Raw genomic sequence first — 25087 nt, 5'->3', positions numbered from 1 at the left:
AGGACATTTCATCCAACAACCACAGAATGCACATTCTGTTCAACAGTGCATGGAACTGTCTCCAAGACAGACCATATGATGGGCCACATAATGAATCTCAATAAATTTAAGAAAATCGAAATTATATCAAGCACTCTCTCAGACCATAGTGGAATCAAACTGGAAATCGACTCCAAAAGGAATCTTCAAAACCATGCAAATACATGGAAATTGAATAACCTGTTCCTGAGTTAGCATTGGGTCAAAAGCGAAATCAAGATGGAAATTTAAAAATTCTTTGAACTGAATGACAATAGTGACACAATCTATCAAAATCTCTAGGATACAGCAAAGGCAGTGCTAAGAGGAAAGTTCATAGCCCTAAATGCCTACTTCAAAAAGACTGAAAAAGCACAAACTGACATTCTAAGGTCACACCTCAAGGAACTAGAGAAACAAGAACAAACCAAACCCAAACCCAAACCCAGCAGAAGAAAGAAAATAACCAAGATCAGAGCAACACTAAATGAAACTGAAACAAAAAAATACAAAATATAAATAAAACCAAAAGTTAATTTTTTGAAAAGATAAATAAAATTGATAGACCATTAGCAAGATTATCCAAGAAGAGAGAAAATCCAAATAACTGCAGTAAGAAACAAAACAGGAGATATTACAACTGATATCACAGAAATACAAAAGATCATTCAAAGCTACTATGAACAGCTTTATGCACATAAACTAGAAAACCTAGATGAGATGGATGAATTTCTGGAAAAATACAACCCTCCTAGCTTAAATCAGGAAGAATTAGATACCCTGAACAGACCAATAACAAGCAGCAAGATTGAAAGGGTAATTTAAAAATTACCAACAAACAAAAGGCCAGGACCAGACGGATTCACCGCAGAATTCTACCAGACATTCAAAGAAGAGTTTTTACCAATCCTTTTGACACTATTCCACAAGACAGAGAAAGAGGGAACCCACCCAAATTCATTCTATGAAGCCAGCATCACCCTAATAACAAAACCAGGAAAGGACATAACCAAAAAAGAAAACTACAGACCAATATCCCTGATTAACATAGATGCTAAAATCCTTAACAAAATACCTGCTAAACAAATCCAACAACATATCAAAAAGATAATTCACCATGATCAAGTGGGTTTTATACCAGGGATGCAGGGATGGTTTAACATATGTGAGTCAATAAAAGTGATACACCACATAAACAGGATTAAAAACAAAAATTACACGATCATACCAATAGATGCAGAAAAAGCATTCAACAAAATCCAGTATCGCTTTACTATTAAAACTCTCAGCAAAATCAGCATACAAGGGACATACCTCAATATAATAAAAGCCATCTGTGATAAACCCACAGCCATTATAATACTGAATGGCGAAAAGTTAAAAGTATCCCTTCTGAGAACTGAAACAAGAAAATGATGCCCATTTTTCACCATTCCTCTTCAACATAGTACTGGAATTCCTAACCAGAGCAATCAGAAAAGAGAAAGAAATATAGGGCATCCAAATTGGTAAAGAGGAGGTCAAACTGTCACTGTTTGCTGACAATATAATTGTTTACCTTGAAAACCCTAAAGACTCCTCCAGAAAGCTCCTAGAACAGATAAAAGAATTCAGCAAAGTTTCCAGATACAAGATTAATATACATAAATCTGTAGCTATTCTATATACCAACATCAACCAAGCAGAGAATCAATTCAAGAACTCAATTCCTTTTACAATAACTGCAAAAAATAAAAATAAAATACTTCTGAATATACCTAACCAAGGAGGCAAAAGACCTCTACAAGGAAAACTACAAAACACTGCTGAAAGAAATCATAGATGACACAAACAAATGGAAACACAGTCCCATGATCATGGATAGGTAGAATCAACATTGTGAAAATAACCATACTCCCAAAAGCAATCTACAAAGTCAATGCAATCCTCATCAAAATACCACCATCATTCTTCACAGACTTAGGAAAAAAAAAAACAATTCTAAAACTCATGTGAAACCAAAAAAGAGCTCACATAGCCAAAGCAAGACTAAGCAAAAAGCACAAATCCGGAGGCATCACACTACCTGATTTCAAACTATACTATAAGGCCGTAGTCACCAAAACAGCATGGTACTGGTATAAAAATAGGTACGTAGAGCAATGGAACAGAATGAGAAACCAGAAATAAACCCAAATACTTACAGCCAACTGATCTTTGACAAAGCAAAAAAAAAAAAAAAATGTGGGAAAAGGACACCCTTTTCAACAAATGGTGCTGGGATAATTGGCTAGCCACATGTGGGAGATGAAACTGGATCCTCATCTCTCACCTTATACAAAAATCAACTCAAGATAGATTAAGAACTTAAATCTAAGACTTGAAACTGTAAAAATTCTAGAAGATAACACTGGAAAAACCCTTCTAAACATTGGCTTAGGCAAGGATTTCATGACCAAGAACCCAAAAGTAAATGCAATAAAAACCATGATAAATAGCTGGAACTTAATTGAACTAAAGAGCTTTTGCATGGCAAAAGGAACAGTCAGCAGAGTAAACAGACAACCCACAAAGTGAGAGAAAAATCTTCACAATCTATACATCTGACAAAAGACTAATATCCCGAATCTACAACAAACTCAAACGCCATCAGCAAGAAAAAACAATCCCATCAAAAAGTGAGCTAAGGACATGAATGAACAATTCTCAGAAGAAGATATGCAAATGACCAACAAACATATGAAAAAATGCTCAACATCACTAAAGATCAGGGAAATCAAAACCACAATGCAATAGCACTTACTCCTGCAAGAATGGCCATAATCAAAAAATCAAAAAACAGTAGATGTTGGCGTGGATGCAGCGATTAGGGAACACTTCTACACTGCTGGTGGGAATGTAAACTAGTACAGCCACTACAGAAAACAGTGTGGAGACCCCTTAAAGAACTAAAAATAGAACTACCATTTGATCTAGCAATCCCACTACTGGGTATCTACCCAGAGGAAAAGAAGTCATTATACGAAAAAAATACTTGCACACTCACGTTTATAGAAGCACAATTCGCAATTGCAAAATTGTGGAACCAACCCAAATGCCCACCAATCAACGAGTGGAATATCTACAATGGAATACTACTCAGCCATAAAAAGGAATGAATTAACGGCATTCCCAGCAACCTGGATGAGATTGGAGACTATTATTCTAAGTGAAGTAACTCAAGAATGGAAAACGAAACATCATATGTTCTCACTGATATGTGGGAGCTAAGCTATGAGAATGCAAAGGCATAAGAATGACACAATGGACTTTCAGGACATGGGGGGAAGGGTAGGAGAGGGGCGAGGGTAAAAGACTACAAATACGGTACAGTGTATACTGCTTGAGTGATGGGTGCACCAAAATCTCACAAATCACCACTAAAGAACTTACTAATGTAACCAAACACCACCTGTACCCCAATAAGCTATGGAAAAAAAAACAAAAATAAAAAATAAAATGCTTAACATCATTAATCATGAGGGGAAATGAAAATCAAAACCACAGTGAGATATCATCTCACCCCAGTTAGAATGACCATTATCAAAGAGACAAAAAATAACAAATGCTGGTGATGATGCAGAGAAAGAGAAACTCTTACTATTGGTAAAAATGAAAATTCTTATGTTATATAAATTCTTATGGAATTTCCCCCATTAAGGAAAACAGAACAGAGGCTGCTTTAAAAACTAAAAATAGAACTACCACATGATCCAGTTATCCCACCACTAGGTATACATACAGAGAAAAGGAAATCAGTATGTTGAGGAGATATCTGACCTCCTATGTTTATTTCAGAACTATTCACGATAACCAAGATATGAAATCAACGTGCATCCATCAGCAGATGAATGGACAAAGAAAATGTGGTATATATACATAATGGAATACTATTCAGTTATTTTAAAAGAATGAAATACTCTCATTCATCATGGCAACATGGATGAGTCTGGAAGACATGTTAAGTGCAGTAAGCCAGTCACAGAAAGATAAATAACCACATGTTCTCACTCATATGTGGAAGCTAACAAAGTTGATTTCACATAAGTAGAAAGTAGAATAGTGGTTACTAAAGACTGGGAAGAGTAGGGGTGCAGGGAAACAGGGATACGTTGGTTAATGGACAAAAATTGCAGTGAGCTAAGAGGAATAAGTTCCAGTGTTCTCTAACATTGTGGGATGACTACAGTCAACAATAATTTATTGTATATTCTCAAATAGATAGAAGATTTTGAATGTTCCCAGCACAAAGAAATGATAAATATTTGAAGTGATAGATATGCTAACTCCCCTGATTTGATCATTATATAGTATATACATGTTCAAAATATCACACTGCTTTCCATAAATATGTTCAATTATTATGTGTCAATTAAAAGTAATACTAATACATTTTCTTTACCTATGGAAAAAATAACCAAAACATGTGACAGAGAAAAATACATTTAAAAGATCAGAAAAAAATTCAACCATTTTAGTAAATATCAAGAAACCATGAAAATTAACATTCTATTTTTATTAATCCTTAGATTTACAAATTGATTTATTAATCCCAAAAACTCAGTTTATTTCATTTGCCCAAAAATTTCCTTTATGTCTCACTCTCAGAAAAGAAAATTTACTTTCTAATAGACAATTCACATTAGAAAAATAAATAAGACCGTTATAGACATTCAGAAATAAATATAAATCAGTTTAACAACTCTCTTACATGGCAAAAAAAAAAAAAACTCTCAAAATGAGTGACTTCCCACAACACACACACATGACTAAATTTCATACTATTGAAAGGAGATATCTCTAAAACCAAGTAACCCATACCAAAGGAAAAAAAAAGTGCAAAAGTTAGAGAAATGGAGAAAGACATGACAGACCACCTAAACATTAGGAAATCAGGTTCACAATAGTATTATGTGAAAAGTAGAAAAAGTTTTAAAAAGAAGCCTTAGCCGGGCACAGTGGCTTACAGGTATAATCCCAGCACTTGAGGAGGCCAAGCAAGGCAGGTGGATCACTTGAGTTCAGGAGTTCGAGACCAGCCTGGGCATCCTGGTGGAACCCTGGCACTACAAAAATACAAAAATAAGCCAGGCATGGTGGCACCCACCTGTGGCCCCAGCTACTCAGGAGGCTGAGGTAGGAGAATCACCTGAGTCTGGGGAGGTCAAGGCTGCATTGAGCTGTAATTGCACCACTACACCCCAGACCGGGTGACAGAGTGAGATCACACCTCAAAAAAAAATTTTTTTTAATTAAACAAATAATAATATAAAGGATAAAATGCATAATGAAAAATATTAGTTTTTTATTAACCAAGAAATTTCTTTGAAATATATAAATTACGTTACATAGATATTGAGGAGAAAAGATTAGCAGTGAGATAATTAAATACATCTAAATCTTTGACTGGAAAGGTGAACAAAAATTAAGACAAAAGGATGCAAATAACATAAACTAATTATGTTGATTTAACAAACTAGATACTCTACAATAAGGGAATATATCTTCCTTCCAGCACTCATAAAAGTCATAAAAATCTGTCATTTATTAAGCCACAATGAATACCTCAATATGCTGCAAAAATAAATGTACAGATCACGTTTCAGAGCATAATGCAATAAAATTTGAAATTAAAGTTTCAAGTTTTAATATATCGACTTCTTAGAAATTATTAATGTTCTCCTGAATAACTTTTGAAAGTGGAAATCAAAATCCTTATTACAAATTATTTCAAGAATAATAAAATTTGAGGCTACTACATTCCAAAATATATGTGAGGTGGTCAAAGCTATATGTATATTAAAATTTAAAACTTTATGTGTCATTACTCAACAAGAAAAAGTGGAAATAAATGTAAGAATTGAAGACAATATTAGAAAAATAATAAACTAAGATAAGCAAAAATTAACAAATCAAAAAGCAAAAAATTAATGAATTGTTAAGTTACCCAAATAACCATTAAATGTAAATGTTTAAAAATACCTATAGAATGCCTAACAGAGGAAGAGACTGAAGCAAATTAAAAATATTGGAAATAAGAATAATTTTTTTACTATAAAGAATACTGTGCATAACTCCAGGCTAATAAATTTGAAAAATCTCATTGAAATAGTTTCTTTTCTAGGAAAAAGTAAGTTAAAATTTACTCAGACACATTGAAAACTTGACTATTTAAATAGCAGAAAAAAAAACAAATAAAATTTCAACCCACATCTTGTATTATATGCCAAAATTAATTTACAATAGGTTAAAAAATTAAAGTTAAAATGTAATTCTTAAAAGAAGAAGAAAATGTATGAATTTTTTAACTTAGATTGTATCAACAATCCTACATATAAGTAAATGCAGAATCCATAAAGGAAAAAACATCTACAGATTTGACTATACTGAATTAGAACTTCAGTATAAAAAAGGCTTTGGAAAGCAAATTTTTAAATTGGAAAAAAGCAGTTTCGATACACATGACAGAAAAAGGTATACTCTTAATATAACAAGAATAAGAAATGGACAATCATTAACAGAAATAAAAATGGCAAAAAATAAAAATAAAATGTTAAACTTCTCTAGCATGCAGCAGGTAAATTCAAATGAAAGTAAGATATTTGCTGCTACTAAATTGATCTTTCAGATGAGAATTCCAGGTTTTAGCAGGAGTATGGAAAAATTGATGCTCTCTACAAAAAATAAACATGTAATTTAAAAAAAATTGTATCCTTTCTGGAAGACAATTTGCCCATTTATATTGGAAGCCTGAAAATGTACATATTCTTTAATCCAACAACTCTACTTGTAGAAATTTATCCTAATTAAATGGGTATGTAAAACTATTTAGAGGGATGTTCATTTCAGTTTTTTAAAACATTGTTTATATTGTGATATATTCAAATGAATTTTTCAAGAATTATATAGAATACTAAATGTCATTTAAAAATTTCATTACGGATTAAGTTTTTAAAGCCCATTTTTAAGAAAAGAGCATCTCAATTATAATTGTATATATTATAATCTTCTCAAAACATGTTATACATTCAGATTCCCAGGCCTACTTCCAGACATACTGAATTAGCCCAAGAGTGGGATTCAGGGATCTGCATTTGTAACACGTTCTATATATAAAGATCTGTATATGATAGAGAAATAAAGACTGAAAGTATATACAGCATGTTTATTTCTGAGTAGAAAGGCAATAATTTTTCTGTGTTCATAATTTGCATGTTTTATATTTTCCATAATGAAATAAAAGTGTTACATTTCTCAATTTAAAAATTACATTATTTAATGTAAATTAACAACACACAGTGGTTTATGGCAAATCAGATAAATAAACCTTAACAACCAGGGATCTGAGTAGTTTGTAGAGAAAAATAATTAAGACAGAGAATACAAACTGGTAGCCCACAAGGTATAAAACATCTTTAATCCAGATGATGTTTAACTGTTTTAAAAGTAATCACCCACATTTAAAAACAGGGAGCTTTCCCTTAATAAATACTAACTGCCATCTTCTTTTGAAAAAAATGAGATCTGACCACACTGGGCCCAGATGGCAATAACTGATTGGGGTAGAGGGGCTCCTCTTTAGATGTCCAAGGGCTCTCCAGTTTACTGTTCCCCACCACTCCCTAGTATCCTCCCAAAGCTGAGGTCAAAGTCAATTGCCACACTTTAAGTCAATCATCACACTTTATCTCTATTTTTTTAATTACTACTGTTTTTACATTTTTGCCTTATCCATAGGTATTTGAGTCTGAGTTCCCTTGATTAAGCAAACACCTAGCCAACCTGTGACAAATACAGGAGGCGAATACGATACTAAAACTTTGCAACTCAGAGTCTCAACCCTGGCTGCACATTGGAACCACCTACAGAGTTTTCTAAAGTCCCATGGCTCAGGCCACACCCCAGACCAATCATATCTGTGCCTCAGGGTGGGACCCCAGCATGCAAGTTCTTAAAGCTTCCCTATTACCCATTGGAGGTAACAGGTAATTCCAATGGGTAGCGCATGCTGAGAGCCACTGGGTAGCCCAGGCTGACAGTCACTGTTCTGGGGGAAAGGGTGCTAATAGAAGGAACCCAGACTGATTTGAGGAGGCCGAGCCATTACTAGCAGGGAGTGTGGAGACAGCCTGGATTCAAAATCCAGCTCTTCCACATACAAACTGTGTATTTAGCAAGCAAGTGTACTTCTCTGAACCTTCATATTCTCATCTACAAGAGAGGAATCATAGTCCCTTTCTTAGAGAATTGCTATGAAGATTAAATGGAATAAGGCCTGCGAAGGGTTCAGCATAGTTCTTAGCTCATAGTAAGTGCTCAATAAATGGAAGCAATAATTAATGTTATCACTAAATATTGTACCAAGTGTAATGGCATAAAGAAGGAAGAGGAGGACATGAGTTACTCACGATAGTTAGGTACTTCTAACTACTTTATATCATTATCTCATTTTGTCGCCTCAACAAATCCAGCAGGAAAGCACTAGAAAGGGGTTAAGAGCTAAATGGAGATAGAAGCGTTTTGTGAGCCATAAAGAGTTTCCCTGACACAGAAGATTTTTAATGTCATTATTATTTGTCTCATTTAACTAAAACCCTCTTGAAGAGAGTCTGCTAATAGTATCTCAGTGATGTTCTCTGCCTCCCCACTCCTGGCCTCCCTGATCTATCTTCATTCCTCACTCATCTGAAAAACAAGTAAAATGAAAGCCTACAGCAAGTGCTTCCTGGCTTTCCTACCTCACTGGCAGAGCAGAAAGTGAACCTGATGAATGAGTATACAGGAAAGTTTCTGGGTTGAAACAAGGAGAAACCATCACCTCAAGCAGGTTGCAACTAAAAGGACCGCCAGAAAGTTCAGGCACATGGACTCCCCACCTGAGGGATGCCTGCACCTTCCTTTCTCTCATTCTTTCCCCTGCTGTCTGCTCTCACCCACCTTGAGTCTCAGGTAACTCTGGGCTTAGGCCTGAGCCTCGCAGCCTGCAGTTGGAAGATTCCAGGTCCTAGTTTAGCTCTGCCATTTATTGCAAGCAAGTCACTTCCTTTTCAGAGACTTTCTCTGTTTTATCATCTGTTAAATGAGAATAATCATCCCAGACCTCTCCATCTACCTTTTATGGGTTTTATGAAGACTGCAGATCAATGGGAGAAAATAAATGAAAATTTATATTATTGGCAAAAAATACAAAGCAAGATATCCGTACCAATGCCATGCATGAACAGTGTTTTTATGTAATGTGGAAGATCCTCATTACCCCTTCGCTTAATAGTAGAGTTTCATTTGGACCTGCATTCCTTTTTTCTTTTGAGACGGAGTCTCGCTCTATCCCCAGGCTGGAGTGCAGTGGCGCTATTTCAGCTCACTGCAAGCTCCACCTCCTGGATTCATGCCATTCTCCTGCCTCAGTCTCCCAAGTAGCTGGGACTACAGGCGCCTGCCACCAAGCCCGGCTAATTTTTTGTATTTTTAGTAGAGACGGGGTTTCACCGTGTTAGCTAGGATGGTCTTGATCTCCTGACCTCGCGATCCGCCCACCTCGGCCTCCCAAAGCGCTGGGATTACAGGCGTGAGCCACCGCTCCCGGCCTGGACCTGCATTTCAACTAATGATAGAATTTTAGATATCTGCAGGGTGACAGAGAAACTAGTTTGGGGTCAAGGGCCATTCTGAAGTCTCTGACATCCTCACCCACATAACCCACCCCCAATTTGCCCATGTTGAGATCTCCTCCAGGTTGACCCAGGGTTATATTACATCATTAATTCACTTCTCAGTGAATTATGAATATAGCTCATAATCATTCTTATGAGTATAGCTTATACTTTTTAAGACCTTTTCTTAAACAGGATCTTATTTTGGTTGTCACCGGGCCCCCCAGAGAAAGACAACAGGTAGATCCTTGTCTCTTTTTGGCAGGTGGAGGCAAAACATACTTGGCAAGATTATACAAGCATTAAATGAAATTATTAATTAGCACAGGCCTGGCACAAGGGCTGCCTGAGTGATGGTCAGGGTCAAGGTGGGCTTTAGCACTCGTAAACCCAATCCCCAGGAGCACCCATACTACTTAGCTCACTAGGATTATCAGAATACCATTATCTTTTACCTCAGCAGCTACAACAGCCCCCTTTCAGTTTCCCCACCTTCAGACTTATCCCAGGAATATGCTCTCCACACTAGGGACCTCACAAATACTCAAGTCTGATTGTCTCACTTCTGAGCTTAAAACCCTTTATTAGCTCCCCATTTCCCCAAGATCAAGTTCAAACTATTAAAAGTGGCTTAAAGAATCCTGTACCATGAGGGTCCTGCCTCTTTCCTACCCCAGTCTCTTCTCTGCAAGCTCCCTATGTCCCAGCCCCTGCTGCTCTTCTCTCAATTCCCTCAATGTGCTGTGCCCCCTCTTATTTCTGGGCCTTTGCACATGCTGTGCCCTACCCAGAATGTCCCCACCACCCTGACTGTCCCTCTCTCCCTCCACCCTACTGGCCTGAAGCCTGACACTTCTAAAGCTTACTCATCCCTCAATATCACTTCCTCTAGGAAGCCTTTTGCAATTCTAGACTAAAGCATATCTCTGCTATGTGCTCCCAGGGCAACTGGCCCTTCCCATCTGAGTATATTTCACACTTTGCTGTGATGGCTTAATCCTCTGTTTGCTTCATTAGATGGTAAGCCATGTGAGGAGAAAGACTATACTGAATCCCCAACACCTAACAAAGGAGGGAAGAAAGGAGGGAGGGAATGCAGGAAGGACAGAGGGAGACAAAGAGGGAAGCAGAGAAGAAACTGCCTTGCCTATCCAAGGTTTTCCTTATTTAAGCCCTTGCTTTTTCCTTATATTTGGGTTTATTCTTCATTTGACCTTTGGAAAAAAAAAATGAAAAATAAGGAATCACCTCCAACAAACTGAAATAGAGGATCATTGTTAAAAAGAGAAGTTAAAGTCTGAAGATTTATTCTTTAAAAATCAGTATCTGTAGGCCGGGTGCTGGGGCTCAAGCCTGTAATCCCAGCACTTTGGGAGGCCAAGGCAGGCAGATCACGATGTCAAGAGATCAAGACCATCTCAGCCAACATGGTGAAGCCCCGTCTCTACTAAAAATACAAAAATTAGCTGGGTGTGGTGGCACGTGCCTGTAGTCCCAGCTACTCGGGAGGTTGAAGCAGGAGAATCGCTTGAACCTGGGAGGCAGAGGTTGCAGTGAGCCAAGATCACGCCACTGCACTCCAGCCTGGCAACAGAGAGAGACTGTGTCTCAAAAAAAAAAAAAAAAACAAACAAACAGTATCTGTGCCTGTTCCTAAGAAACTTACTCATAAAAAATAAGAAAAAATCAAAATCAAGATTCATAATGCCCTCTGAGCCAAGGGTTCCTTTTGAGAAAGCTCCTTGAAACAGCTAATTCCTCACACAGAGAGAAACAGAAGATCCCAGAGCCCTGGCTGAGATATTAACAAATTATCTCAGAAATGAGGTACAATCACCCCTTCTTTTGTGTCTCATGGGAACTGATATTGGCTCCCACCTGCCTGTGCCTCAGTGTTTATGTCCATCTCCACCTGCTATACTAAGAGCAACTGCAGTAAGGACCCAGGCCTGAGCTATGTGTGCCCCCAAGACTCAATACCCTGCCTGACACAGAGTAGGTGTTCAAGAAATGCTTTCTGCATGAGTGAATGAACAACCTTTACTTGTAGTCCTCCTTGAGCAACCTTCCTATGTCCTTCATTCTTTCAATGCCTATTTATTGCATGTCTATTAAGCACCAAATAACAATACCTTATGGAGTTCATAATTTCTTGGAGAAGGTAGATATTAAGCATAAAACTCCAAGTATGCTCAGTGTTTACAAAGAGACATTCACTGTGCATTTGCAGCCTACAAGAGGAATCAATTAAAAGCTGAGACCTCTAAAAGTTGTATGGGATTTAGTCTGGCAACGTCGGGGGATGTGGGAGACAACATTCTAGGAAATGGGGTGAGTATATGAGAAGTGTCCAAATGGAAAAATGTGGCCACACAAGAAGTTCTGAGAGGAAACATCCTCCAAGCCTGAAAGCCAGCACAGTGTGGTGCAGCAGCTTTCATACATCGTCCTAGCAGGGGAGCCCTTTCTTCCAGTAAAATCCTCTGTAGAAACCATTAATATCAAGCATAAAAATAGAGCTGCTCTGGTTGGAGCCACTGCTATGTTTGCCAAGGGAGGCAAATATTTTAGCCCATGGCTCCTCAGACTATAACATGCATACAAATCACCTGGGATCTTGTTAAAAGGCAGATTCTGACTCAGGAGTTCTAGGGTGGGACCCAAGATTTTGCATATCCAGCAGCCTCGGTGATGTTGTGGCTGGTCCACCAGCATCTCTTTCAGCAGCAAGATCCCAGAGACTGAAAAACAGTTAACCAGGAATGAAGAGAAAGCTCAGGATGGCCACGTGGCCTCTTCAGATCTGAAGGTCTGTAACAGGGTGTGTTAAAATGGTGTAAGACCACCTGTTAGAATAGCTATCATTAAAAAAAGAGACAAGCTGGTGAGGATGTAGAGAAAAGGGAACTCTTTATACAGTTGGTGGGAACATAAATTGAACAGCCGTTATGGGAACCTGTATGGAGCTTTCTCAAAAAAAAAAAAGTAGAACTATCAATATGATCTAGCAATCCAATCTCTGGGTATGTATCCAAAGGAAATAAAATCAGGATCTTAAAAAGATATTTGCACTCCCATGTTCAACACCACATTATTCACAATAGCCAAGATATGAAAACCTAAATGTCTATCCACAGATAAATGGATAAAGAAATTGTGGTATATGTACATAGGCAATGGAATATTACTCAGCCTTAAAAAAAAGGAAATCCTGCCACTTACAACAACACGGATAAACCTGGAGGACGTTATGCAAAGTGAAATAAGCCAGACACACAGAAAGACTAATACTGCATGATCTCACTTATATGTGAAATCTAAAATACTGAAACTCATAGAAGCACAGAGTAGAACCGTAGTTGCCAGGGGCTGAAGGGAGGGAGAAATGGGGAGATGTTGGTCAAAGGATACAAAGCTTCAGTTATATAAATTAAGTTATTATATATGAGTTCTGGAGACCTAACATCCAGCAATGTCACTGTAGTTAACAGTACTGTACTATATACTTGAAAAGTGCTAAGGGGATAGATCTTAAATGTTCTCACCATGCAAAAAGTAATCATGACCATGCAAGGTCATAAATATATAAATTAGCTCAATTTTGGTGACCTTTTCACAATGTATACATATATCAAAACACTGCATAGTATGCTTAAATATATACAACTTCTATTTGTCAATTATACCTCAGTTTTTAAAAGTAAATGTGTGGATCTGTACATAAACTTGAGACATTGTGAGTTGAGGGTCTGAGCATATTGCTATTGAAGTTGTGTGTATGTGTTCAAATCTTCTTCCGTGTGTGTGCACATGCGTGTGTGTGTGTATATATATACACCTCAACCAATGCTCACAACAGAATAAGACTGACGGGCACTATAAATAGTTCCTGGGAGCTACAGCAGCATAATCCGGATTTAGAAGAAAATCAATTATTTGATCTATCACTGATGTCAGCAGGTTATCCACAATCCACCCTACTCTTGCCCTGTTATTTCAGTGTCACGAATGAAAAAGAGAAAGAGATACTCAGAGTAAGGCTTCAGCTTCTTGGGAAGGAGTTACGATATGTGCCTCAAAAAGGATTGTCTCTCTACCCAAGTATTGATTAAAAGGTCTCACTGTACCCCATAGGTGTCCCAAAATGGCATATAATCATAGGGTGTCTGTGCCGGGGGGGTAGAGGGCTAGGACAGCCTTGGGATTTCATGGCTATTTGTAGGTCCCCCTGCCCAAAGCTGCCACTCCACCACCTGTTACAATGCCTAAAACCACGCTATTGAAGTTTGTGCTCTTATAATCTAAAGATTTCCAGCCTTAGGATTTTCATTCATCTGTGTGGGATAATACTTTAAGCTTCTATTGTGTAATTCTTTAGGGAGTTTGAAGACCAGTAAGTCAAGGCAAGGCCTTATGGAATGAGACCCTGGATATGAGCCACTGGTTCTATAAAACCACCTAAAGAGCAAATGTGATCCTTGGTTGTGTCAATAAGAGTAAAGGGTACAAATTAAAGGAGATGATGATCCCAAAGAATTTCATGTATTCAGAACCTATGGAATAGCCAGAGTGATCACAAAAGGCAAACCTTTGCCTTGCTTCTCCACAACTTAAAGCCTTTGTAAACCAAAAATAAAATTTGAAGCCCCCCAATCAACTGAATGAACCCCTCCCCTCGGCAAGGGCATTCCAAAGTTAACCTGAAAAACTAGTTCAGGCCCTGATAGTAAGGGGAGGCCTGATTGCATCATTATACCCTCCTCCCTTTTGGAATTACTGATAGAGGCCGGGCACGGTGGCTCGCACCTGTAATCCCAGCACTTTAGGAGGCCAAGGAGAGTGCATCACTTGAGGTCAGGAGTTGGAGACCAGCCTGGGCAATGTGGTAAAACCATGTCTCTACTAAAAATACAAAAATTAGCCAAGTGTGGTGGCAGGCACCTATAATCCCAGCTACTCGGGAGACTGAGGCAGGAGAATTGCTTGAACCTGGGAGGCAGAGGTTGCAGTGAGCCAGGATAGCACTACTGTACTCCAGCCTTGGTGACAGAGCAAGACTCTGTCTCAAAAAAAAAAAAAGAATTACTAATAAATTACTAATAGAACAGACTCTTTATGTCTGATAAGAAATATTTACAATCTATTCTCTCTGAAGCCTGCTACCTGAAGGCTTTATCTGCATGATAAAACTTTGGTCTCTACCACCCCTTATTGTAACCCATTCTTTTCTATTGATAATAACTCTTTCAACAAATTGCCAGTCAGAAAATCTTTAAATCTACCTATGACCTGGAAGCTGCCCCACCCCACCCCCACCACTTCAAGTTGTCCCACCTTTCCAGACCAAACCAATGTATGTCTTACAGGTATTGACTGATATCTCAGGTCTCCCTAAAATGTATAAAACCAAGGTGTACCCTGACCACCTTGGGCACATGTTGTTAGGACCTCTTGAGGCTATGTCAGGAACACATCCTTAACCTTGGCAAAATAAACTTTCTAAATTGATTGAGACCTATCTCAGATACTTTTGATTTACACCTCTTAGCATCTGGCCATTGCTCTTACAGAACCCAAAGTCTTCAAATGACCTGTGAGATCCTGTAGCATGCAGCCCCATTCACCACTCTGGTGTATGTCTCCTGCTGCTCATTGCCTCACTAAGCTCTACCCGTACTGGCTTTCTTTTGTTCCTACCACATGCCAAGTACCTTCCCTTCCTCAGGACCTTTGCACATGCTGTTTCCTCTGCTTGGACTGCTCACCACTCTCCTCTCTCTCTTCACTGAGCCAACTCCTGTTCACCCTACATGTCTCAGCTTAAATGCTACTTCCTTAGAGGAGAATTCCATGCTTCCACAACTCCACAGTCCATGCACCTGAGCATCTTTTTCTCTGCCATTGTAGTAGTAGTTGTAGTACTGTAGTAGTAACAGCAGCTAACATTTTCTCAGGGTTTATGACATGCCAACTTTGGTTCTAGGTACTTTTCATTTTTAACTCCTAATAACAACCCTAATGAAGTAGCTATTATTACTCCCCCCTCCCCCACTCAGCAGATAGGGGAACTCTGGGCCACAAAAGTCAAACAACTTACCGAACAGCTCCAAAAGGTAAATGGTGGGGCTGGAGTTCAAACTCACCAAGTGGGGCTTCAGAATTATTTACTCAATGAATGTTTTCTCCATAGTACTCAGAGGCCAGGAATCAGGTCTTGCTTAACACCCCATCACCAGTATGCAGCACAAAGCCTGGCACATGGTAGGTACTATATAAATATTTGTTGAATAAGTAAATGAATGAATAAGTTAGGATGAAGCCCAAGGATAATAATCTAGATGGTGAGAGGTCTGGAAATTATAAGAGAAATGGCTGGCCGGGCGCGATGGCTCATGCCTGTAATCCCAGCACTTTGGGAGGCCGAGGCGGGCGGATCACAAGGTCCGGAGATCGAGACCATCCTGGCTAACACGTTGAAACCCCGTCTCTACTAAAAATACAAAAAAAATTAGCCGGGCGTGGTGGCGGGCGCCAGTAGTCCCAGCTACTCAGGAGGCTGAGGCAGGAGAATGGCGTGAACCCAGGAGGCGGAGCTTGCAGTGAGCCGAGATCGCGCCACTGCACTCCAGCCTGGGTAACAGAGCAAGACTCCATCTCAAAAAAAAAAAAAAAAAAGAGAGATAAATGGCTGAGGGTGAAGAGAATGCTTAACTAAGAGAAAAGATGCAGGGCTGACTTAACAAGTGAGAAGGAAACAAAATTCTTCTGAGCGGCTGCAGAGGGCAGGGCCAGAAACAATGAGTAAAAAGCAGAGGAAAGAGATTTCAACTCAGTAAAAAGACCATCACTCAACAGAGGCCAAAGTATAAGTGCTTCCTTTAGGTAGTGGAGGGCCCCATCACAGTAAGTATGCAAACACAGGCTACAACAACATTGGATAGGAAAGCACCTGGAAGGAGTCAAGCTTCAAACTGCATCGGTTCTGTGTGTGTCCCCACCCCTAACAGGCTAAGAACCTGTGAGTCCATACACCCCTCTTTGCACCCCTTATCCCTAGACATTCCAAAGGAAAAATTTTAGCAGGGAAATACACCCACAGGGGTTGTCATAATTTGCTCCTAGCTGAAAATAGAAAGATGGACTGGAGTCATAAAAAATACAATAGCAAAAGGCTCTCCCTTATTGTGAGAGCCACTAGGCCCAGGATCAAAGTTGGACTCAGATGAAACAATGAGGCCATTTCCTACCCCAGCAAAACTGCAGTCAGGTTATTCCACGGCTCAGCTGCCCTGCCTCTCTCAGATCACAGCACCGCTCTCACGGATGAAAGGGACAGTCTGGTGTTCCTTGAAGCTTATGGCTGGGTACCTTTCATTTGCATTTAATTGAATAGAGCAGGCGACAAAAAGGTGCTCCTACTAGATGACCTTTCAGGGCCTTCCCTGCTTATATTTTGATTTTGTGAATTGAATTAGGTTGAATTGGAGCATGTCAGAAGTAGGAGGGAACTTAAATATCATCTAATCTACTCTCTTTGCATTAGAGAGAAGGAAATTCAGGCACAGAGAGGGGAGATAGCTTGTCCAAGGTTACACAAAAAATCCTAGAAAAATTGGAACTCAACCACTTATCTCCCGACCTCTAGTTTGCATTCTATCTTTCTCCATTTCTCCAAGAGAGTTTTCGGAGAGTTGGTGCTTTCTGAGATAACGCAGGCCCCATATATCCAGCTTCTTTGGCATCACCTATGTGGAGAGCCATTGGCATGGATTTACTTGGTGGAGGCTCCACTTGGAGCCAGGAATTAACTCCCAATGCCTAAATAATTTTTTCACAAAGACTAGGTAATTTGGTTTTCTCTTATCCAAGCCAGGTGATCTGGAAGCAGGAGCAGAATGGAGACCAGAAAGGCATGTGCCCAAATGACCTACATGACACCTGTCAGCATTCTGATTTGTTTGGAGACTGGGTCACAAAACTGTTACATTGAAACAAAAACAAACAAAAATATCTAGAATGAGTACGCTGAAAATAATCTTAAAGATTTCCCAATCCTGTGATTCCCCAAGTACTACTTCCTGGATGTGCCAAGTTGACATAAAAAAAATAAAGGAAATGTTTAATAATATTTCTATGTACGCATACAAATGTATGCACACTTTTCCTGAGATAGGCCATCCTTTATTCTGAGATTAAGTTTTTCCTTCTTTTATAGTTATAACATATCCTTTATTTTATAAAATTATAGTGATGATTAGCTTTCTATCTTGAATTTAATATTCTTACCTGGCAAAATGAAAATTGACAACAAAGTTGACAACATGTGTCGGGTTCTCTCAATTTTTTAGAAATTTTAGAAATCCACAAAGTCTTGAAACTACAGTCTTCCTTTTTACAACTGTGAGACTAGAGGACCCTGGAATAAAACCGTGTTTCCAAGTTCTTACAGTCTGTTACAAACCAATTCCAAAGCTTCAGGAGCCGTCAAGCTACTCTAATCCTAACTCAGCATTAAAATTGCTGTGGGATCCTGGGCAAATTGCTTAATTTTGAGTCTCTACTTTCACATCTAGAAAGTGGACACAATAATCCCTGCCCTGACTTCTTCACAGGTAGCAGAAGGTCAGCATGTGTGAAAGCGCTTTGAATGTAACGAGATAGCATAATCAGCTCTGTGCAAGCAGTTGCAAACCCTTGGTGCTTGCAGGGCAGACAGGAAATAGGAACAAGTGAAGCAGGCCAAGTGTGAGTGAACAGACGGCAGCTACCGCTCAGCCTCAGTACTGAGAATGCAATGAGGCAGGGTGGGGAGTGGGGCAAACTAGCAAGTTCAGCATCTGAAGGGAGGAGAGTGGCTACCCCAGCCAATTTTTGCCATGTTTTAATGTGGGTCCAATGTAACCAGATATTCTCATTTTCAGAAATACTGGAACCTTACATTTTTATGTGCTATGTTTTGATTTATAAACATTGGCCACAAATTCAAACTTCAAAAAATTGTGAGAGACAAACAAAACTTACCATATGGGGATTGCCTGTATGTAAGCCCCTGGTCTGACTCCACACCTATCTTTTTCTGAAAGTCCCATGGGCAGGTCATATTAGAAAGTGCCAAAGCAATCTTTATTGCCTAACAAGAACACAGCTCAAGAAAAAACTGAACAATACAAATTTGCAATGAAGACCAGCCCCCAAGGGTCGATATACACATTTCAGGGTTAGGCAAGGGATAAAGCTGGTTGAAGAAATACTTCATGAACTAGGACAACACTCTCTATAAAAGCTCACCCACTAGTTTAACATTCTCGATCAGTTCTCTGTCCTCTTACCCAATTTTAAACAAAATTTCCTCATCCTAAAAATGGGGCAAATTACACATGTTAAATTATACATATCTAATATATCTACTTATATGAGACTTTGTGTATAATTTGACAAAACAAGGATGGTAAATACGCAGCAAGATTGTTTTGTTCCTGATAATGAGGATGAAGATAACTAACTGCACGGCAGGCATAGTTCAAAAAGCTCTTTAAATTATTAATTAATTTGATCCTCATGGCAACTCAATAAGGTAGATACTCCTATCATCAGCATTTTACAGACATGAAAACTGAGGCACAGAAAGGTTAAGTAACTGCTCAAGGTTACACAGCTGAAAAGTGCCAGCACTGGAGTCCATTGATTGCAGCCTTCTTTCCTGCTGTGCGTCAGAATCCTTGTCAATAGAGTGATCCAAGAGGCTCCTACCCACTGATCAAGTTATCAGGCAGTTAAAATCTGTCTTCCCAACTCCAGCCCAATGTAATGCCTGGCACAGAAGAGATCCTATTACCCTTATTAAATACCGGCTCCCTTCCTCATACTTCATACTTTTTCATAAAGACCAAATCATAGGATGTGTGTAAGGCAGGGTATCTCAACCTCAGCACTGTTGACATTTTGGGCCACAGTTCTTTGTTGTTGGGGGCTGGTCTGTGCATTTTAGGGAGTGTGGCAGTATCCCTGGTCTCTACCCACCAGACAGCAATATCACACTCACCTATCACCCATCCCCCATGACAACCAAAAATGTCTTCAGACATTGTCAAATGTCTCCTGGGGGACAAAACTGTCTCCAGTGGAGAACCACTGGTATAAGGTATGATTAGTCAAACTCCTCCTCCTGTACCCACAGTGATTCACCCGCTTCCCCTGGCTTCTCACAGCTGCCGAGTCCCACCCCATACTGTGAGTTATCTTCACCCCTCACTGTGGAATAACAGGCATCTCCCCAGGAACTGCCTACTCCACTGTTCTAAAACAGTTCCCTGAGAACTTTCCATTTTAAGGGTTTCATTGTTAATTCCTGTAGGAAATGGTTGAGGTTTGGGGGGCAACAAACAAGACAGGAATGGGGAAATAAAAGTTCCAGAGTTCTCATAACAGTAGAAACTTGTTAGACTTTCTATTAAGTTGGTGCAAAAGTAATTGTGCCCTTTGCCATTGAAAGTAATGGAAGAAACAGCAGTTACTTTTGCACCATTCTAATACCTCATAGGGTGGATATCCTAGCCAGAGCCCTTTCAAACCATTATCCAAAGGGTGGTTTGGAAGAGCTCAGCAAAGGCCCAGCATATGAGAAGCACTCAGGTAAATTATAACTATAAACAGTAATGACCTTAAATTATTGTCTCTTCATTCGACAGTCTCGCTATGCCTACCAGGTGCCAGCAATTTTGTAATTGCTTTACTTACATTAACCTACCCCTAATACTGACAAGGGAGGAACTATCACTACATGGGCAGTTTACAGATCAAAAAATTGAGCTTCACTGCAGCTGAAAAACTTGCCAAGCTCAAACTAGACAGTGGGAGAACATGACCCAAGCCTGCCACCCCCCAGCAGACAGAAGGTAGCTTGGACGGCAAGAAGAGGTTCACAACCCAGCTCTGCCATTCACTCTTCAGTGGCCTGGAGCCCATAAGTCAACCTTTCTGGGACCCATGTCCTCATGTATAAAACAAGAGGCCAGATGAGAGTTCGTCTGGCTCTAAAATTTCATAACCCTCATCCATTATTCTCTCTCTTCTTAAACCTTCTTCCAACACAAATGATGATAATTCGTCATTAAATTAGGATTTCAAAAAAAGTTGTTTAAGAAGAAAAAAAGATTGTCTCAAACTGAATGTTTCTTAGTATAAAACTCCATTTTCTCACTAAATACCGGATTAATGCTGTTTAAATTGCATTGCTGGAATGAGTCGGGGAGGGGAGAATTAATGAACTTCTACTAAGCAAAAATGTTCATCAGCTGGAGAAGATCTAAATTAATGAGGAAGAAACACTAAAAAACAGTCATGGCAGGCCAGCTTTCTCTAGAATTATATTATTAACAAAATGCAATGAAACGGCAATTGGTTTGAAGTGGAGAACAAAGAACAATCAAGGAGAAATGCAGTGGCCTGTTTCATTCATAGCATCCCCGAAATGTAGAGTGGGAAGGAAACCCTGGTGAGTTTATCCTTGATAAGTAACCAAAATAATACTAAGAGCAACTGTTAAGGATTTTACGTATATTATCTCATTTAACCCTCACAATCCAGTAGTGTAAGCTCTGTCTCCATTTCACCGCTAAGGCAAGTACATCCAGAGATGTTTACTTCTTGCCCACACAGCACAGCCAGTATTTAAACCCAGATTTAACATCAAATCCTGTTCCCACAACCTCCACACCACATACTGCTTTACTTTGGCTAGCCTCTGGTTGAATATCTCAGCTGCCAGGAGATTTACTACCTCACAAGGTGGCCCAATTCAGCATCTTCCCGAATTGAATATTCCTCCTTGTAACTTTGTCCAAAAGACCTCCAGGGGTGTCCAAGGGAGAAAATACAATTATGGGTTCTTAGTTTCTGATTCTGGTTAGGCCACCAAAACCCCTCCCTCATCCCTCTTTTTCACTTATCACTAGAGACAGAAACTAAAAACCATGGCTTTCAGGCTGCTAAAAGTCTAAAACAAAACAAAACAGAACAACAATAAAAATAAGGCAGGTTGGGCAAGCTTGATAGACTCTGACCCCACCTCCACTCACCCACAGTGTGTTCCATCATCTCCTCCTTCCCTATGGCAGCCCTTCAGAAGTTTAAAGTCATTGATCACCGTGAACATTCTTACCTCCAGGGGAAAAGCCTCTCTCATCCTTTTCCTTGTTCTCCATATGGCAAGGTCTTCAGCTCCTTCCTCTCTTACTCACATTCTTCAGAACACACTCAGGTTTGACAATGAGATTCTTAGAGAACTGAACCCATATTTCCAAGTGTATCCCAGCCAGAAGAGAATGCAGAAGGACCATCTCCTCCCTTATTCTAGGCTTGCTACTTCTGTTAATGCACTCCAAGAGCGGCTCATCTGTATCAGCAGCCGGGTCACATATTGGCTTATGATGGACTTGCTCCCAAATAGCTAGGACCTCTCTAGATATTTTTCACACATGGCCTTCTTAGCTAGTGTGTGATCAGCTGAATTGTTCAACAATTAGTTGGTTCTAAGCAGAATGCAATTAAATAGATCCCACCAGACAAAACCACCAAAGAAAACTCCAGTGTTCTATCCCACTCGAAATCCTTTTTTCTTCATGAAGTGACTGTTATCAGTTGGTCCAACAGGAATAGAACATCCTGTTCACCAATAAAATAATCACTGCTCCTTATAAGCCCTGAGGCCTTTGTTTTATCAATCATTTCCATGTCAGTAACAAAAACTACCATTTTAAGCACTGACTATGAGATACGCTCCAGGCAAGTTGATTACCCTAACACTTAATGATAATCCTACACGTTCAGCATTATAATTTCCTTTTTCCGGATGAAGAAACTGAGCCACAGAGGAGTTTAGTGACCTGCTCAAGGGTTCACAACTGTCTTAACCTTTTTTTTTCCTGTCAGTGCCAGGTGTATTAGTCCGTTTTCACGCTGCTAAGAAAGACATACCCAAGACTGGGTAATTTATGCAGGAAAGAGGTTTAATGGACTCACAGTTCCACATGGCTGGGGAGGCCTCACAATCACGGTGGAAGGTGAGGAGCAAGTTACATCTTACGCTGCTGGCAGAAGGCAAAGAGAGATCTTGTGCAGGAAAACTCCCCCTTATAAAACCATCAGATCTCATGAGACTTATTCACTATCACGAGAACAGCACAGAAAAGACACGCCCCATGATTCAATTACCTCCCACCGGGTCCCTCCCACAACATGTGGGAATTGTGGGAGCTACAATTCCAGATGAGCTTTGGGTGGGGACAGGGCTGAGATTCAAACCCATCTTTGGTACTGGATCCAAAGCTCACACTTTTTCCCCCACAACACAATGTCTTCCAAGTCCAAAACTTCCTGCATTGGCCCATACTGGGCTGACAAGTTTCTATCTACTTACGTAACTTCTTATTTGATTGTCACAAACACCCTAGGATTTGGGGACAGGATAAACTAAAGGACTTGTGCAAGTCCCAAGGGCTGGTCTTCTTTCCGAGTTCTCACTGGTTATTCTCTTCTTGTCCTGCATCCAGGCACAGAGGCCCCTCATTCTGCCTTGTTAATCTATGTTCTTGTTTCTTGCCGAGGATCTCAGAGCTCAGAGGGCCTCTGCAGGTCAGAGGGTTGGAAAGGGCCAAGTTACTCCCCTGCAGAGAAAACCAATCAATCTTATGTCGACCCACCTGCTCTCAAAAAGAGCAGCTGATCAGCCACAGCTGATAAAAAGGAGGTGATTTAAAGGTCAAATGAAGGCTGGATGTCTATCTGCCCTCCTTTTGTGACAAATGTATCTGAGATGTGAGCACAGTGAGATGGTGTTATTTTAAGATGGGTGGCTTATCAGGAAGACTGAATTCACCCAGCCTGTGTCAGCTCCATTTTATAAAATGCAGTGTCCAGGAGTTACAAAAGGTAAAGCAATGGGGTGAAATGAGCACTGGAATAGGAGTGTTTTTCCAGAATACATATCAAGGCTTGGCACCAGCTACTGGTCTTTGGGCCTACTGCTTGAGCCCTTTGAGTCTGATGTGGTTCATCTTTAAAATGAGATTATACAAGCCACCATCATAACAATGCTATGATAAGAAAGCAGAATTGCCTCTTGGATTCCTAGTCTCGTGTTGTACTATACAAGAGATGCAAGAACCCTCAGAAAGCAGCTAGCAAAGCTGGTTATAATTAGTGTAATCCTATAATCTCCTCCAATCCCCTAGCAATCACCAGCACCTCTCTGAAACCTCAGTTCACCAGGATATAGTCTAAAGACCAGCTACCTAACAGTCCATTTTTGAAATGGGAAAACTGAGGCCCAGAGAAGTGAAGTGACTCAAAGCCTTGAAGTGAGTTTATTACAGAATCAAGACTAGAATGCAGGACTCATAGTTCCAGTTTAGTGCACTTTTATTTATTTTTTTCGACAGGGTCTCACTCTGTCACCCAGGCCAAAGCATAGTGGTTGATCACAGCTCACTGCAGCCTCAACCTTCCAGGCTCCAGCGATCCTCCCACCTCAGCTTCCTGAGTAGCTGGGACTACAAGCATGTGCCACCACATCCAGCTAATTTTTTTTTATTTTTTTCTTTGTACAGTCAGGCTCTCATTATGTTGCCCAAGCTACAATTTCTAATATGACATGCTAGTATGGCTTGTTCCTCTTTCCATGTGTAACTATATGTGTATAATATACAATGTTCTACAAAGTAACTTTCAAACTCCTTAGATCCCTAAGACTCCAAAAATGTGACAGTGACAAGAAAAGGCAGGATTCTTACCTCTGCTCCAATCAAGGCAAGTCTGTGTTTTTCCCTAAAATCTGTTAATAGTGTCAGCTAACATTTATTGAGCACTTAATACCAGGTTATATGTGAGTATTTTTAATGTGCATCATCGTACTTAATACTCCCAAGAGACTGTGAGGTAGCTGTTAGTCTTTTTCCCATTATAGAGATGAGGAAACTGAGGGTGAGAAAGGTTAAGTCGCTTGTTCAAAGCCATCCAGCAGGAAGTGGAGCAGGAGTCACACCCAGGTAGACTTACCCACAGGGCCTTTACCAGCAACCCTGTGTTCTTCTACCCAAGTACAATTTCCTTTAAAGAAAGGGACCCACCTCCTACCTATTATTTTTTCTTCTCTTCTTTACATTTTTTTAGTTTGGAAGGCACTACTCTGAGGTTGAGAAGAAGCACCCCAGTTTCTCTAAGTGCCTCACTGTGTGTGTTGGGTAGAGCGTCTTAGTGAATAGGTCAGTCTTCCCCAGAAGTGAAGCAGGGGGACTCACCAAAACTGTGCCCTCCACTAGGCCAACAAAGTGCCCGAGAGACCTTCCACTGGAGCTGCAGCGCTGTCAGTGAGGCCACTGCAAAGGCAATCATCTCAGCCT

At 39.8% G+C, this 25087-nt stretch overlaps 1 long non-coding RNA gene across 1 annotated transcript in view; it reads right to left on the bottom strand.

The window, feature by feature from the left end:
• Nucleotides 1-22766, bottom strand: part of LINC01933 (long intergenic non-protein coding RNA 1933) — a 311552-nt gene extending 288786 nt beyond the window's left edge. The window contains exon 1 of the long non-coding RNA NR_109876.1: nt 22710-22766. This is a non-coding gene — a long non-coding RNA (long intergenic non-protein coding RNA 1933). The remainder of the gene's footprint in view (nt 1-22709) is intronic.
• Nucleotides 22767-25087: the final 2321 nt, after the last annotated feature.

The sequence above is a fragment of the Homo sapiens genome, chromosome 5 (assembly GCF_000001405.40).
Source record: "Homo sapiens chromosome 5, GRCh38.p14 Primary Assembly".
Taxonomy (NCBI): domain Eukaryota; kingdom Metazoa; phylum Chordata; class Mammalia; order Primates; family Hominidae; genus Homo; species Homo sapiens.
Note: the sequence above shows the minus strand (reverse complement) of the source record. Positions and strands in the feature narration are given on the sequence as shown.